Below are 18,658 nucleotides of genomic sequence, written 5' to 3'. Positions count from 1 at the left end.
AGATGTACTCTTGTAGGTACAGGGGGAATGTCTCAATCTTGGTTGAGCTCTGAGCCCTCCTTCCTGGTATTCCACTGGCTTAGCTGACTGGGCTCGGTAGTGGCTTGTCCAGGTCCCTCAAGTCACTCACAGGTATGGTCTTGCACCTCCCTGTGCATCCCTCTTGCCTCTCATTTTTGTTGCTCCGGAGGCATGTGACAACTGTAAGGCTCTCTTGACTCATGCAGTTCATTGCCCCACCAGCCCAGTCAGGCTGCAGGTGGAGCGATGGGGAATGCCACTGCTTGCTTTCATCACATGCTCAGCCTGAGAGTGTGGCATATGTCACAGGTGCTAGCCTTACTATCCTGGGATCTGGCTTCCCAGGTGGCTGCCGGAGAGGCTAGCAGGTAAACCCAAAAGTGCAAGAGAGTTGACGTCACACAGAATAAATTTGGCCAAAGGGAGACAAGCGCTGACATAATAATTCTTCTCCCCTCCTCCCCTCAGATGGACTATTCAAAGATGCAGTGGTTTCAGACAGCCTCTTTGAAAACATCCTGAGAAACTGAGCAACCAACTGTGCTTATTACAAAAGCTGTGAGATAACCCTTTCAATTTGCTCCTCTGCCTTCCCTGACTCACTCCTATTTTTTCTACACTCTGGCTTTTCTGGAGTCATACTCTCCAATCTACTCTTAACACCTAAGAATCTGCCTCATGCTCCATTTGCAAAGAAACTCAGACTAGGATTTGCTATCTTACTGGAACCTGTAACTCCTCTTTGTTTCTAATCAGGCAGCAACTGAGGGAAGACAGAAGGCCTCTGAGGCAAAAGTATGTTTGTTCCATTTTTATTTTATATGGATGTCAGCCTTGAACAGACTCTCAAAGCTTGCACACTTCCCACCTCGTGGTGTATCATGTCTTCGTGCTGGATATGGGTAAAATGGAGACAGCGAATGGTAATGGCTAGGAGTACAAGACCTAGGCAGTGCTGCAGGGACCAGCCTCTAGATTCATGGTATGAGCTGTAAGCCCTTGAACTGTACAACCCCTTATTTGGTTTATATAATAAACTTTAACAGTAGACATTGATGGGGCCCAAGAAATCCCCCTGGTGCTGTTATTTCCTCTTTCTTTTTGTTGAACAAATTATCTTTTTCAGCCATGCCTCTGCTGAATCTGCAGGATTTGTCTGATAGTAATCTTTGTTTTAAATTTAAGGCTCTCTAAAATTTCATTGTGAAAACAATGTTCTTAACACAGTACTTTATCACCTGAAAATGTTATATGGAAATATTTAATCATAAAATCTCAGAATATGAGAGGTAGAGGAACGCTGCCATAGAACAGGGTATACAGGAGAGATTCAATATCCACTACAAGACTGAACAAATTGAAATGAAGGCACATAAAATGGTGAAAGGTCTAGGAGACTGGGATGAGGAGAAATGGGCTTCAGTCCCGCCAGCAATAATCTGTGTCTCCTGAATAGGCCATTTAGCCCATACAGTCCTGACATGGATATCTGAGTACCCTTTCTTTTCCTGTGAGGAGAAGTCCCAAGAAAGTTAAGAGACAGAATCCTACCTCCTGCTATGGAAGCTGGGAAGGGTCAAACATACCCTCTGTCAATATCCTGGTAACCAGAGTGTAGGCAGGTAATCTAATCTTAGCCAATTGACTGGTTCCCCCGGGGACTTTGAATCTAGAGCCAATGTCGCTATAAGGCAAGTGATCCTTTGGAGTTCATTTGGATGGTGGCAGTGTCATCTCCTCTTGGGGCCAGTGGCGGTGACAAAGGGGCCAGCTATTGGAACAGCGGTGCCCAACCTCACCCTTCCTGTGGCGTGTTACAGATTCAGTTCTGACCCCTTCCTTCTATTAATGCCTGCATCTTTTTTGAACCTGGAATTTCATTATTGCTGCGGAGGCTGTGACCTATGTGGTGTTATTCCAATATGTGCCTCTGCTGCTTAACTTAGTTTCTCTTGTAGGAACAAAAAACTCTACCACTGGAAGATCTAAAATTTCTCCTGTGTTCATAAAATCCTACAAACTGCTGTGTGACTCTTTGGAGATTGCAAAGTACTTTTATAGGCACGGTCTTATTTCATCCTCCACATAACCATGTGGGAATGCTTTATTCAATGTTTTACATGAATAGGGGCAAACGAAGATCACAGGGATTGATGGCCTCTTTAATGTTATACAACCAGTCCCGCGGGGGCAGGGCTTAAGCCCAGATGAATTCCTTGTACTTTTTGTTTGTTTGTTTGTTTTGAGATGGTGTCTCCCTCTATCGCCCAGGCTGGAGTGCAGTGGCGCAATCTTGGCTCACTGCAACCTCTGCCTTCTGGGTTCAAGTGATTCTCCTGCCTCAGCCTCCCAAGTAGCTGGAATCACAGGTGCCCACAACCACACCCGGCTAATTTTTGTATTTTTAGTAGAGACAGAGTTTCACCATGTTGGCCAGGCTGGTCTCGAACTCCTGACCTCAGCCCATCCACTTGCCTCAGCCTCCCAAAGTGCTGGGATTACAGGTGTGGGCCACCGCACCCAGCCCCTTGTACTTCTTCTATTTCACCTTTGGAACCATGGCTGGGTTCAGATGAGATCATGAACACAAAACTGCAAAATAATTTGAAGAGCACTATATGATTGTTATTACTGTTCAAGGTCATCCAGGGAAAAGGTGGTGGAAATGGAATGCAAAGGATGATCTTCCCAATCCTAGTTCATTGTCACTTCTATTATTCTGTACCCCCTCCCTACCAAGGAATGCTTTTATCTGATTACATGTACAGCTTACCTTTTTTGGGGTACTTATTTTTACAGTTGGTTTGGCATAGAAATAAGACATTCCTTGGCTATCTTTATTCAAGAAATCTTTGCATGCTGTTTTTAAGAGCCACACAAAAGCATTTCCACTGCCTGCCTAAACTCCTAACGGTTCACTCAACGTAATCTAACTACAGCAGAAATTTAACCACATCTCTTTAGTGAATTTATAACATTGAAGAATTTTTTCTAATTACCCCAACACCCTCCAAATTGTCCTAAAACTTTTCCCTTCTCAGTGCCTATCTCTCCTGTCCTTTCTTCTTGTTAAACCTAGTGACTTAATCACACATTTTTTTTTTAATTTTCTGTAATTTTATATTTATTAAAGGATATAATTTAAGAAAGGAACTATACATTGACAGTTGTTGGTATTTTTGTTTTGCTTTGTTTTCTTTTTTTCTTTTTTCTTTTTTAAATTTTATTATTATTATACTTTAAGTTTTAGGGTACATGTGCACAACATGCAGGTTTGTTACATATGTATACATGTGCCACGTTGGTGTGCTGCACCCATTAACTCTCGTCATTTTGCATTAGGTATATCTCCTAATGCTATCCCTCCCCGCTCCCCCCACCCCACAACAGTCCCCAGTGTGTGATGTTCCCCTTCCTGTGTCCATGTTAATCACATATTCTTGACCTTCCTGGAAGCCTCTCATCTTCCAGTGGAAAGAACAGACTAGATTAGTTTCTCAGTTAGCGCCAGGTAAGCAGAGGAATGGAAAGACAGGCAGCACCTCAATTAGTACAAACTGGTGAGCAGATGGAAATGGAATAGAAATAAAATGATCTCCACAGACCATACAAGACCCAAGTAACTAAGAAAGAAAAGAACAAATTCATTATAAATACAACAATGTGATGACAGCAGTAGGCAGGTGGGGTGGCAGGGAAAGGTGATTCCTTTCACATCAGCCTTTTCAACAAACCAAATGACGGACAGTCTTATCCAGGAATATGCTTACGCCAATGCAGGGAAGGTAGGGATAGGGCAATGATAGCCATGATACTAAACTTATATTTAGATAGCACTTTACAGTTTGCAAAGTGTGGTGGATAGAGTTACTGTTTCCCTTTTATGTATGAGAAAATAGTCTCCAAGGTGTTAGTTAAGAGGGTTGCCAAGCATCTCATCGCCATTAAGTGGTGAAGCTAGGAATCAAGCCAAGTGCTGTTGAGGGGCAGGGTGCAGAATGAAAACAGAAGGAAAAAAATAACAAAAAAGTAAGGAGAGATGATCAAGAAGGTAAGTGGGAAGAAATGTAACAAAGAAATCTCTCATGACAATGCAATGGAGTGAAAAAGAAGGATACTGATCAAATATCCACCATGATAACATGACTTACCCTGTATGGAGTGGAGACAGCACAGTTCCAGCCAAGTAGAGATGGGACAAATGATATACCATCAAAACTTGGACACCAAGATTTTTTTAAAAAAAATTCTCCATCATAACAATTAAAAATAAACCCACAGAGCATAAAGAACCATTACTTACTTTTCACATTTTTTGGTGCTACTTTTGACATATTCTGTTCTGATTCTAAAATTTGGAAGGCATTTGTTATGAAGTTTGAGGGTTAGGGAAGAACACATGTGAGGTGTATTCCACATGTACCTCTGCTCACAAGATACACTAATGTGTGTTTCTTCTTACTATCTTCTAACTGACCAAGTACCTTGAGTACTTCTTTTACCTTCTTTTAAAACTGACCAAGTACCTTCAGTACATCTCCTTATCAACTTCCCTTTAAAACGGACTAAGCATTTTCCTAGATCGACTAAGCATTTTCCTAGATCTCTTATCTGATAACAATGGGGACAGAATTTATTCAGTTGGACACATACATCCTGACCTCTGATATGTTAATCACTTTGCTTCAATAAGGCTCCAATGCTAGCTCCAATTCCAGAAGCTCTGTTCCTACCATGTCCGAACTACCAGCAATGGCTCTGCTGAGAAGATGGTCCAAAGCAGCCTTCTATGTTTGTTTTGTATGTTGTAAAGCAGAGCTGTTTTCAGGAGAAGAAGCCTGCATCAGAAGGCTGCATCTTAGCTAAATCTTAGTCCAAGTGAAGATTACATCTCTAAATTGTCCCCGATCTCCAAAAGGCCAGCGCTGTCCTGGAGAATGTCCACTGTGATTGTCAGAACCCCAGGGTGAGGCCACGTGCTCCCCATACAAAACACCATCTAGCTGGTTATCGGGTGGTAATAAAGGGTGCATTGCCAGTGAGGATGGTGTATTACATAATCTTGAATAAAAAATTCGAAACATAAATTACCCAGTAATGGATCCATTTACTTCTTCAACCTACTTGTGTTTTCGGAATCAACCATTTCTTGGTGGTAATTTGGTTAATAATTACTTGTTTTGTTCATTAATAATTTGATCTTTCTGAAAAAACCCAGTCAAACTTATATTCCCTCATTTTAGACTCTGGTGAACAGACTAGTTCCTCAGTCACCACTCATGGTTTAATATAAATGAACTGTTATCTCCTTTTAGCATTTTCTGTCTCATGGAAGTAATATAATTGTTGTTGTTGTTGTTGTCAGCTTGCCAGTCATATCTGTTTTCAAATGGCAGATTTCATATAATTTTATTTTAATTATTTCATTTGATTTTTAAAATAATAGAGTATGAGCTTTCGAGTCAGATGGTTTTGGGTTCAAATCCTGACTCTCACTTTACTATCTGTGTAAACTTAGTTTTGATTTCTCTGGGATGAAGATTTTGTGTTTGCATAGTGAATACTTACCTTAAAGGGTTGTGAAAGGGTTAAGTCAGACATAAAAATGACTTACATCAGGTAAACACTCCCAAAATGTTAGCTTTCTCCCCCAATTCAGTTTTACTATGTCTTTCCTGAATCTGACTTCAGACCAGAAGTCTGAAGTAATATTCAAGTGAGGATATGTTGTATTTTTTGACATAGTCAATATACATAAAGAATATAATGAATATTCTTTGGTGTTTAAAAGCCAACGCATAAATTATGTTTTATTTATTTTTCACTAAATACAGAAAGTCCTAAATCTTTAAAATCCAAGTAATTTTCATTCAAAATGACAATCATTTTTAGAAGGCTAAGAATAATTTTAAAATGCACTACACATTATTATATTCATAAGTGGATTTTGAGATCCATACAGTTCTGCAGACATTTGTGAATTTCGACCAACAACTATGAGATGAGATGGACCAGCCACTGAATAGTTCTGCAGTTCACATCATCCCAAGTAAGTATGGCCAACAATGAAAATAATACTGCCGTCTTGGAGATCCACCATGCAGATTATAATGTGTAAAAGGCTCTAATATGCCTTGCAGTAAACAAACAAATATACTTTAAATGTTAATGAATATTACATTATATATATTTACTTGACTCTGGGACCCTTTTTGTTCATGGGACATCTATGAGCAATGCTATGAACTCAATGCCTGGGTCCCCACCTCTCAAATTCCTATGTTGAAGCCTAAATGCCCAATGTGATGGCATCTGGAGGTGGGGCCTTTGAGACATAATTAAGTCATGAAGGTAGAGCCCACCCCCCAAATGGAATTAGTGGTCTTATAAGAAGAAACATGAGAGAAATAATATCTCCCTCTCTTTCTCTCTCTGCCACGTGAGGATATAAGGAGACGAAGCCTATCTGTAAACCAAGAAGCAATCCCTCGCCAGACAATGGATCTATCACCTCGATCCTGGGCTTTTAGCTTCCCAAACTGTGATAAATTAATGTCTTTTTTAAGCCATCAAGTCTACGGTATTTTGCTCTAGCAGCTCAAACTCACTAAGGCAAACATAACAGAGGTCATCTCCTAGGAAATACAGTTTGGAAAACACTAACCTGTTAGATAATACCAAAATCCTATAGCAAAAAAAAGAACAACAGCAACAACAAAACAATAAGGAAAAACAGCAAAATCCACAGCAAAGCCTCGACCTATCAATGTAGTTTAATAGACGTAAGTGTCATTGTGAATGAACAACCTCATTAATAAAGATCTTGTTTACACCTTTTAAAATTATCAATAATCGTCTGGCTTAAGTAATGTATTCTACTTCATTAAACAACACCATGGTCATTAGAGCTGGTGAGTAATTGTAAATTCATTTGGGTTTTAATTATTTTGGCTCTCACACAGGGACATAAGCCCAGTGAGTCAAGACTGTCAGCTGATACTTATGAACCATAAATTGTATTTTAGGTTCATTTATAATTACTTTCACACCATGGATTATAAATAAATAGAATGTGGTGTGTTCTAATGGTCAGAAGCAGGGGTTTGAAGTCAAATGGAGGTGAATTTGAGTACTGATTCTCCAAATGAAGATCCCTAACTTCAATTATCTGTGCCTCAGTTTTATCAGATATAAAATGGGGATATTTCTTACTTCATTGGACTGTTTGAGGATGAAATTAGATCACATACAAATACTTAGTACACCACCAGAACACATAATAATGCTGAATAAATGCTCCCTATTATCTTATGAACTTTGGATCATGAGTTTATTCATTGTTTTTTTCTTTCTTTCTTTTTTTTTTTTTAGATGGAGTTTTGCTCTTGTCGCCCCAGGCTGGAGTGCAATGGCACGATCTCAGCTCCTCCGCCTCCCAGGTTCAAGCGATTCTCCTGTCTCAGCCTCCCAAGTAGCTGGGACTACAGGCGTGTGCCACCACGCCCGGCTAATTTTTGTATTTTTAGTAGAGACGGGGTTTCACCATCTTGGCCAGGCTGGTCTCAAACTCCTGACCTCATGATTCACCCGCCTGGGCCTCCCAAAGTGCTGGGATTACAGGCGTGAGCCACCACACCCGGCCTGTTTTTTTCTTTTGAGAATAATAACCTTCTTTAGCCTCAGCATATATATAGTCACTGAAATACCAATGTGGCCAGCAAGTTTCTGCATCCAGACTGATATTTGCCTACATGTCATTTATAAATCGTTTCACTTTCAAGTAAAAATCCTAAGGGAGAGTATTATTATATGTGGGTTTTTGAAGGTCTCCTTTCATACCTTATCACAGAGTGTGTTTTTGAGGACAGCTACAAAAGCCACAGGGAAGCAAAGCAGCCACTTTGTACTCACGTGTACTTTGCAAGGTTTTGCCATGACTGACATTTCAATGGCAGGGAGGGGCAGGGAAAGAATAGAAGCATAGTTTCTGTATCATTTAAGCCCCTTTAATGCCTCAACAGGAACCCAGTGGCATTCTGAGGGCTGCCTGGGTCAAGATGAATGCCTCCCAGGATATGCCAATAAGAGTGAAGCAGGGTTGAGGTTTTTGAGAGTCTGGTAGGGATATCCATCCAATAACTTTCTTAGCAAAGTCAAGAATGAGATACTGCAAAGTGGTGTGTCCCAATACTGTTTTGCAGCATTTTCTTCCCTGGCCTGTCTTTATTTTAGGGTCTGGTAAAGATTTCAGAAGAAAAGAAGCAGGAGCAGGAGGAGAAGGAGGAGTACAGAAGAAAGATGAGGAAGGGATAAGGAGGAGGAGAAGGAGGAGAGGAGGGAAAGGAGGAGCAATGGGAGGGGAGAGGAGGAAGAAGAGGGGAGGAAGAGGAACTGGAGGAGAAGGAGAGAGGAGAAGAGGAAAAGGTAGAAGGGAAGGAAGGAAGAGAAAGGGAAAGAATAAAAGTCCCCAACCTCCCAGTTTTAGTTTTTGCTAATAAGTCCCTGGCAGATGGATGACCTCCATCTTCAGCCCTCCCTGGGTGCACATCTCTTTTCACTGTGACTGCGCAGCGCCTCCCATCAGGAGATGGGATCTATTTTTCCACCTCTTAAAAGCTGAGCTGGCTACGTGTCTTACTTTGGCCAACAGAAGGAGGCAACGCAATGTTCCAGTTCTGAGGCTGAGACTCAAGAAGCGGAACATGGCTCTGCCCTCCTTTGGAAACACGGCTGGAACACTTGGGCTTGGCCAGAACAAGCCCAAGTGAGCCTGTGGGGTGATGAGAGGCACGTGGTCCTGGTGCCCCATTCACAGAGGCTGATCCAGTCTGCCAACCTCCAAGAACCAAGCATAGCCACATGAGAGAAGAACCGGCCAGCTGAGCCAGCCAGATTGCCTCCTCAGGTAGATGGTGGTCGTTGCATGCCCCAGTTCTGGGGTGGTTTGGACACAGCAGTAAAGAAGGGACAGAGAAACAGAAGCCGGTGTCTGGTGGTATTGTCCTCCCTCTGTTCTGGCTTTTCCTTGAATGTCTGGGCAATGGCCTCTGAGCTTGAATGTCATAACTGGAGCTTCCCAGCCATCAAGCAACTATGAGGGTGAACACAGACATCTTGTTCTATAGGGCAGATAAACTCTGTTTGTTTATGCCTGGTTTTCTGTTACTTGCAGCTCAACACTACCCTGACACGAAATGACGTATCATCGAAAGTCTGACTGGAGTTAGGGTGATCTGTGATGGCAATCACAGAATGACATGCCGGAAGGAGATAGTGTCCTGGGATTTATGGAATCCAAGTACATGCTTTCACTCATTCCTGAGTGCCCATCCACAGATCTGTGTGTGGAGGAAGCCACGTGGGTAGGAATCACAGCCTATGGGCTCTTACAGTTGGGAAGTGTGTGAGGAGTAGCAAAGTCATGCCTTTCCCCCAGTAATCCCCTTGATGGCATCTCTGGCAGGATCCTCATTACAATGCAGCCTCTTCACTAATGTTAGAAAGTGACTTCCACTTAAGCCATAATCTACCTACTTATTGCATGCATGCCCTGGCCACAGCCCTACTTTCTAGTGCTTCCCAGATTGTTCCTTGGAAGCCTGCCAGCATGTAAAGGAAAGAAAGGCCACACCCGGGCCCAGGGGTGGTGGGGATGGTGGAATGCACGGAATACAAGCCTCTAACCAAGTTCATAGAAGTCTAAGTGTTCTTCCCCCGTCTCTACTAAAAATACAAAAAATTAGCCCGGCACGGTGGCCGGTGCCTGTAGTCCCAGCTACTTGGGAGGCTGAGGCAGGAGAATGGCGTGAACCTGGGAGGTGGAGCTTGCAGTGAGCCAAGATCGCGCCACTGCACTCCAGCCTGAGCGACAGAGTGAGACTCTGTCTCAGAAAAAAAAAAAAGAAGAAGTCTAAGTGTTCTTCACAACCATGCTTCATTTCAAGAATGCAAAAATGTAGGAGAGTAAACAGAATCTTGGTTGGTTTTAACATGAAAATCATATTTATGTTTCTTACCAAGAAATAAATGTGGTCCTTGAGGGACCTATGCCACATTTATTTGGTGGCTTCCATATCTTTACTCCAGAGTATGTAACACTGTGCCATTTTCCCCAATAATAATAGTTATTTGCTATTTACTTAACACTACAGTATGCCAGTGTGTGAGGTACTTCACTTTCACTATACTGCCATATAGTTCTCACAACAGCCCTAGTTGGTATTATTTTCTTCATATTAAAGATGAAAAAATTAAAGTTCAGAGATTTAAAATGATTTTTTCCAAGGACTCAAAGCCAGTAAAGTGGAAAGGATATTTAAACCCAGTTCACAAGATCTTCAAAGCTCATCTTTTACACTACAACTTGCCATTAATAAGCAACCACTTCACATTTTCAGAGACAACCTTATTTTTTTCAGAGACAACCTTTTTCTTATCTTCCCCAAATATCCTTGGGGGAAAAGGAAACTAAATGAAAACCACCTTGCCTTTTCTAAAAACAATCATACATTGGTAGGCATTTATGAATTAAGGAAAATAAAAGGAAGAGGCCCATTTGAACACACCTATTAGAATCCTGAATGCACGTGCGTGGTCAATAAAACTCCAGCTACCCAGACGAAAATCTTAATCACCTGCAAGGTCACATCAGCAAGTTAAGGAAACAGATGATGCTCCCTAACATGCAGAGGTTCTCCATGCCAGCCTTGGGCAATCTGTGATACCCTCAGTGAATTAGAAGTGATTTTGGAGGCCAGGCACGGTGGCTCATGCCTGTAATCCCAGCACTTTGGGAGGCCGAGGAGGGCGGATCATCTGAGATCAGGAGTTCAAGACCAGCCTGACCAACATGGTGAAATCCTGTCTCTACTAAAAATACAAAAATTAGCTGGATGTGGTGGCATGTGCCCATAGTCCCAGCTACTCAGGAGGCTGAGGCAGGAGAATCGCTTGAACCTGGGAGGCGGAGGTTGCAGTGAGCCGAGATCACGCCACTGCACTCCAGCCTGGGCTACAGAGTGAGACTCCATCTCAAACAAACAAACAAAAAAGTGATTTTGGAAAACAATAAAATAAATATGTGGGCCTTCAAAGCCAGCCTACATTTCTAAAATACCTGAGAAACAGAAAGTTAGTGAGAGAGAGATCAAGAGTGGGAGAGGCTGAATAGACAGAATTGAGGCCAGGCGCGGTGGCTCACACCTGTAATCCCAGCACTTTGGGAGGCCGAGGTGGGCAGATCACGAGGTCACGAGATCGAGACCAACCGGGCTAACAGGGTGAAACCCTGTCTCTACTAAGAATACAAAAAATTAGCCGGGCGTGGCGGCAGGCGCCTGTAGTCCCAGCTACTCAGGAGGCTGAGGCAGGAGAATGGCATGAACCTGGGAGGCGGAGTTTGCAGTGAGCCAAGATCGCGCCACTGCACTCCAGCATGGGCGATAGAGTGAGACTCTGTCTCAAAAAAATAAAAATAATAAAAAAATAAAAAAAATAGACAGAATTGAGTTTCTGTTTCACTGTTTCCATCTATACTAAGAAACAGGCTAGACCAGTGTTCTGAGCTCTTATGCAACAGAGCCGCCTGGATGAGCTGTTAAGACACATTTTCTGGGTCCCAACCCCAGATTTTCTGATTCAGTGGGCCTGGGGTGGTACTGGAAAATTTGCATTTCTAATTTGTTCATAGGTGACACTGGCACAGCAGGTCCAGGGACCACACTTTGACAACCTACTAAGTCTTGAACTATTCCTGGAGCCAGCCAGATTGGGGAGTGGATGCATGGGGCGTCCTGGACCTAAGGGATGAAGGGGGCGTCCAATATCCATAGTGACACTATCAGTCAGCGAGGTTATTGCAGGGCAGCTTATCAGTGTGATCCAATTTCATAACAAGGACCAAAGGAAGAAGTTAGATTTTAGGGTTCAACCTTACCCTAACCCTAACTCTAATTGGACCTGAATTCAAATACTAGTTCTGCCACTTAATAGCTGTGCATATTTGGGTAAGTCACTTCATCTCTCCAAGCTTCCTTTTCCTCATCTGCACCCAGAAGTTCATAGTACCTACTTTGTAGAATTATTATGAGAATTAAAGAAAACATAGGCGAAGGACCTGCTGGTACAAGATAGATGCTCAAGGATTGCTATTGCTTCAGTGAACTGGATAACTCATCCAACCTCCTCCGAGGGTTGTTGATTGAGGGCATTAATACTGGAAAGATGAGGTCGCAGCCAACTTGATTATTACTTCTAGCTTTAGTCTTACCCTAGCAACTGTAGCTTCAGTGAGTCAGGGCTGGCTCAAAGAGCAATCTGAGATTCAGGGATAATTATTAAGACTCCTGGAAGACTGGGAGGCATCTGGACTCACAACTTGTGGCTACTGCCAACAGAAAACGATGACAAGACCTGAACTCTTCCATTAACACAAATAATTCTGTGAGCCTATGACTCTTACCATTTTCTTTTCATCTCCATATAACCTTTCATCTTCATGCCACTGAACTCAGGCAATGGAAAATGACCAAAGATGCATGTATCAGAAGCAACATGTTAGGTCATACCAATGGTCTCACCAGGTAAATTTTGGTGGTGGCACTATTCCAGGTAAGTTCTTGCCCTGGAACACTGATCCTTTGTGATATTACCTGTATGTGGTTGAGATGATATCCCAAGAACTCCTAACTTTCTCCAACAGACATGACACTGTCATTTTCTTTTCCTTTTTTTTTTTTTTTTTTTGAGATGGAGTCTTGCTCTGTCCCCGAGGCTGGAGTGCGATGGCACGATCTCGGCTCACTGCAACCTCCATCTCCCTGGTTCAAGCAATTTTCCTGTCTCAGCCTCCTGAGTAGCTGGGACTACAGGCAAGCGCCACCACTCCTGGCTAATTTTTGTATTTTTAGTAGAGACAGGATTTCACCATATTGGCCAGGCTGGTCTGGAACTCCTGACTTCGTGATCCGCCCGCCTCAGCCTGGGATTACAGGCGTGAGCCACCACTCCTGGCCCGACACTGTCTTTTTCTAATACAGACAACACTGGACAAGAGCCCCATGAACTAGAATATTGCTTCCTTCTGAGTTTGATGACCTTCTATTTTATTGTTAATCTTGCATGTGAGTCCATACCCCAATTTTGGGGGGGAAAGTGGGGAAAAGATAATTATAACTAGTATTCTCTATAGAACAACATTGGAAAGTCAAGTTAGTTACTGTCTGACTTAATTAGGTATGTGTCTTTTAGAAATTGTACTGGCTTCTTCAAAAAGAAAAGCTAAGGTTATTTTAGACACTGCAGCTATAATGACACAACGATACATGGATCTAGTAAGTAATTTTATCAAATTAATTATTTCTGAGAGGATAAATTTTTATGCTTGAAAAAATCATTTCAGTTTTTTAACGTTTTGATCTTTGTAACTAATTTTAAAGATGACACTGTGCTGGTTCCATTTGCTCTGTGTGTCTTGCAACGTTCCCAGTCAAAAGCAATAACATTTGAATTTGACCAAAGCTCCAGTCTTTATAGTGTCTTGGTGTGTCCTATCACCCTGGTGATTAAAGTCAGTTGGTTGAATTAGCTTTCAGAAGTTTCACAGTTTTAATATCATCACGTCAATAAGGCAGCTGTGAGCAAGGGGAACAGCTGAGCTCTTCAAGTAAGAAACACCTGAATTAATCATCAACCTCCAACCACATCCCACCTGCCTTGATCAATGGGCAAAGGACAGTCAATACATTGTGGAGGCATTTTTCTGGAGTTGGCAATGAATAGATGGCTTCAATATCCCAGCAGTTTATGTCTAGCTTCTTACAATTTGGATGACACTTCATGCCCGCTACAGAACTACATTTCTAGGTAGCATTAGTTAAGATATCCCTTGAGGACAAGATACTTAAATGATGTATCCTCTGCATCAATTTTGGTACGGTCATATATTAGGAAGCATGTTTTGATTAAATGTCTTAATTCTTTATGACAGTGGTTCTCAAACTTTGGCACACATCAGAATCACCTGGAGGGCATATTAAAACACACACTGCTGATCCCACCCCCAGAGCTTCTGATTCAGTAAGTCTGGGATAGAGCCCAAGAATTTGCACTTCTAACAAGTTTCTAGGGAATGTTGATGCTGCTGGTGTGGGAGCCACACTTTGAGAACCACTGCTTTAGAGATACTGATACTACTTTTATTTTTTTTTAATTACATTCTAATAGTTTCCCATGTGGCATAAGGAGGAGTGAGAACATAGAAACTATTGTGAAGTTCTTTTCTTGCTAACTTTTTTTCGAAGAAGTACAGTCTGCTCTACTTCTCCTTAGCAATGTAGAGAACTTCATTAAAGACACAAGCTCCCAGCTTTTCCCTCTGGCTTCAGAGATGGGAAGAGGCAGTGTGTTTATCTGGTCCAGGCACATCAGATCATATTCATTTGATGGTGTCGGGGAAGAAATGACCATGCAGAAATATTGATTCTAACTCTTGGTTTTTCAAATGTGAGGTCACCAATGAAGCCACCTTATACAAAAGGTGAAAACTGCAGTGATGAGGACAGACGCATTTCACAGGCAGGTCCTCCAGTGTGACACAGGGAGCTCTCTAATTTTCCTCATAAAGCCAAGGGGTTGGACCACATCCCCAGAGAGCACAGGAGGGATCTTAGGTTTCTGGTAGATCCAAAAAAAGGAGCCGTCAAATAATGACTAACAGTGGTATCATTAATAGGAGTCTTAGACTCAGAAACCATCAACCGAACTCCTCATTCCAGCACCCCAGTCTTATCTCCAAAAGCAAGCAAAACTCGAGGAACACAACAGCATTGCTCTCATTCAGAATTACTTTGTTTTTATAAGTAAGTTAGCTATTGAAAGTCCCTGTGTCTATTTTCTAAGAGATGGGTATGGCTCTATGTGTGTATATTTAAGAGAGAGAAAAAGGAAAAAAAAAACAATATGCTAAACTTTGAGGACTGCTACTTCAATAAGATAGAGAACCCTGATGGTCCATTCTGCTTCCGGGGTCGAGTTAGGTCTGAGAAATTTGATTATGCTGGATCTTGAAAGAAGCCCATTCACTAGGGCAGCATAGACTAGAGCACAGTTCCCCACAGCGATGGGGAACACAGACCTGGAGCTCCTAATCTACCTGGTCCCAAAAGAGGCTCCACCACTTACCAGGTATATGTTGGCCAGGTTACCTAACCTCTTTGTACCTTAGTTTCCTCACCTATAAAATTCAGATACTAATAGTGGTTATCTTGTAAGACGGTTATGTTGTATAAATGAGTTAATATATGTAAAGTACTTAGAAGAGTGCCTGGCACATAGAAAACGCTCTATAAGTGCTAGCTATTATTATTTATGTCCAAATACTGTGCCATCCTTCTCCTTTTGTTCTATTTAAATTCCTCATGCTAATGCTATTTAGATTGGCTAACATCCAAAATTTAGACTTCTGCCATAATTATCTACATATGGCAGCAGGATCGTTCCAGAACCACCCTAATGACTTTGATTAGAACCAATCACCTGTGCCTATTTACACAGAAGAATGATTGACAGGGTTTTGGAAGGACTGGATATTCCAATTATACTCTCGTGGGGTGTGGACTAGTTTGAGCAAATATGCCAGTCAGAATCATGCTAAAACAGATCAGTTTCTGTACATTTTATACAATCTAATAGAGAAAGCAGGAAAAAAAGAGGAGAGGGACCATTGATTAATTCAATAAAATGTCATGTAACCTGCTGCTCTGTTCTGGGCATTGTGCTCAGAAAGTAGCATTGTGGTATAGATTGAGAGATTGGCAAGACACTCCCACCAGTAAGGAGCTCACAGTCTAGTGGGGAAAAGAGATTCAGAAATCAATAAATACTTCACAACGTGCTAAGGATTATAGTAGACATTTCCACGGAGCAAAGAGGAGTTGCCGAGAATTGTGGTGCCTGGGAAGGTGATGTCCAAAGGCAAGAAAGAAAGAGCTGAAAGACAAGTGGGAACCAGCCATTTCGCAGGGTGAGTTAGGATATTCTGGTGAGGACTGGCGAGTTAAGACAGTCTGAGCAATGCTGCACAGTGTGCAAGAGCTCAGAGGTACAGATGACTTGAAGAAGGTGGAAGAGGTGGAGAAGTATGATATTAATTCCCTAGTGTTCTTAGGGAAGGACCAGGGAGTATAAAATGACAAAAAGTGGAAGATAGAGGGGATGTGTGAGTGAGAGGTTAATCTCATGCATGTGGTGTGTCCACGTACCACTGCCTATGTGGTTGTGTAAATGTACCATGCAGGTTGCTCCAGGAGAGAGACAGAGAAGCCAAGAAGCCATTAACCAACAACTGAGAATTAATTTTCTGTGCAAAGGGAATAGGGTGGATGTATAGACTTTGCTAATACTGCTATTGGTTATCTCTAGAAAGGGATGTGTTTCAATGAGCTCTTCTATGATGAAAATATGTACTGTCTAGCTGTCTGGAAAAACATATGCAGTGCAGCTGCCTGGAAAACAGATTTTGGAGAGAAGGTAGCAGGCCTGTGGTTGGGTTTGGAGTTGAGCAGCTGAATCACAGACCGACTCTGGTGTAAAACAGCTCCCAAAACAATGGTTCTCAACTAGAGCTGCACAATTTTTTTTCTTTTCTTTTTTTTTTTGAGACAGAGCTTTGCTCTGTCACCCAGGCTAGAACGTGGTCTCGACTCACTGCAACCTCCGTCTCCTGAGTTAAAGCGATTCTCCTGCTCAGCCTCCCAAGTAGCTGGGATTACAGGCACCCGCCACCACGCCTGGCTAATTTTTGTATTTTTAGTGGAGACAGGGTTTCACCATGTTGGCCAGGCTGGTCTCGAACTGCTGACCTTGTGATCCACCCGCCTCGGCCTCCCAAAGTGCTGGGATCACAGGTGTGAGCCACTGCGCCTGGCCCAGAGCTGCATAATGTTATTACCTGGGAAGCTTTAGAAATTAGTGATGTCTGAGTCCCAGCCCCAGAAGTATGATTTAGTTAGCAGTGCAGCTGGAGCAAAGGGATTTTTTTTTAAGTTCCCCAGGTGATTCTAACATGTAGCTGGGATGGAGAACCATAGCTCTACACCTTGGCTACCTCAAATTTACTCCGGGACCAGAAGCAGCCCCAGGGGTTTGTTAGAAATGCTACATCTCAGGGGCACCCTAGACCTACTGGATCAAAATCTTCATGTTGACAACATCCCCTGGTGATTTAAATGCATGTGACATCTTCAGAAGCACTGATCACAGTTGTGTATCAGGATTATCTTGGAAGCTTATTGAAGTTACATAGCCTTACTTCTATAGATTATGATTCAGGAAGTCTTGGATAGGGCCTTCCTTTTGCATATTTTTTTTAAGTTTTGCTGAGTCAGATTTGCAACTGGGGTCAGAAACTACTGTCTCGCTCTGCAGATAAAGTTGAACAGAGGGCCCAAGATGAAGGGATTTTGGGTAAGATTGCTCTTGTGCAGAAATCAGGGAATGGAGGGAGGCAGACAGTACTTCTTTTCACATAAAGGGAGTTCCACACTGAGAAGGGGAATGCTATGTAATCGGCATCTGTTGGAGGGCTGCATTGCCTCTTGTAGTAGCAGAGTCAACAGATGAAGATAATATATGAGCCCAAAGGCGAGGTCATCCTTCTGTTGTAAAATGACTCACAACTTCAGTGTGGTCCTCCAGGAAGGAAAGTCAAGGCGCGGAGTTTAAATCTCCTTGCACTCGTCTGTACGTGGGGGTGTAGTGTACATTACTGTGTGTGCTTGGGCGTTCTTCCATTCTTACAGGAAAGTTTCACCTGTTCAGGAGTCCCTGTGAATCATGCCTCACACTGACTTCCTTCACCACCTGGCCTGCAGTCTATAATTGGTAGAGTGCCAGGCCCTTATAAACAGTGAGAGGGCAAATGGGGGTGGTCAGTCAAACAGAAGGAAATTGCCATGTGAGTCAGCCACAACCCACAGATATTTTCTTTCCTCTGTCTCCATTAAGAGGGAGCTGGGAACAATTTGGTGTCTAGACAAACAGTCTTGGGATATACAGGCATGAAGTCCCTAGACTGTCTCCCCCCTCACTCCAGTCTTCAGTGGGCCAGATAAGGACTTCCAGTTCACGTCTCCCGATGCCATTTTCTGCCCAGTCAGATTCTTGCCAATAGACTCTCTCAGTGCCTAGCACAGGATCAAGTCACAGATTGAACGAATGAATAAATAAAAATATGTTATTTTTCTTGCAATTATTCTTTTAATTCAAAAGAGCAAAGACAGGAGTTTCAGAATTGCCTGCATCACGAGCTTTTACTGAGTCTCTGGCTTTGATCTCCCTAAAAGCTGCCTGATATTTTTATTTTGACTGAACTTTAGTTGAAATGTGTAATTTCCTACCTAGTTCTTGAGCAGTACCTCAGCCCTCATGTGCAGGAATAAGACAGCAGGTGTGAGAGCTTCATGTGCTTGGGGTGTGGCCTCAGGGCCCTGGGCATGTCTGAGCCCTCTATTCCATGGGGCATCCAAGCAACTGTGTTCCTGAGTGGCCCCATGGGGACATGCCTGGGCTGACTGGCAGGAGGTCTCTGAGGAACACCACCCAGCCCTCTTTTCCCTCTGCCTCCAATTATCGAGGGAGG

The 18,658-nt window shown here is 42.6% G+C and overlaps 1 protein-coding gene across 3 annotated transcripts in view; it reads right to left on the bottom strand.

The window, feature by feature from the left end:
- SHISA6 (shisa family member 6) overlaps positions 1 to 18,658 on the bottom strand; it is a 322,851-nt gene that overhangs the window by 141,595 nt on the left and 162,598 nt on the right. The gene's annotated exons all lie outside the window — the stretch shown is intronic.

The sequence above is a fragment of the Homo sapiens genome, chromosome 17, assembly GCF_000001405.40.
Source record: "Homo sapiens chromosome 17, GRCh38.p14 Primary Assembly".
NCBI lineage: Eukaryota > Metazoa > Chordata > Mammalia > Primates > Hominidae > Homo > Homo sapiens.
The sequence above is the reverse complement of the archived record's forward strand: the minus strand, read 5'-3'. Positions and strand labels throughout refer to the sequence as shown.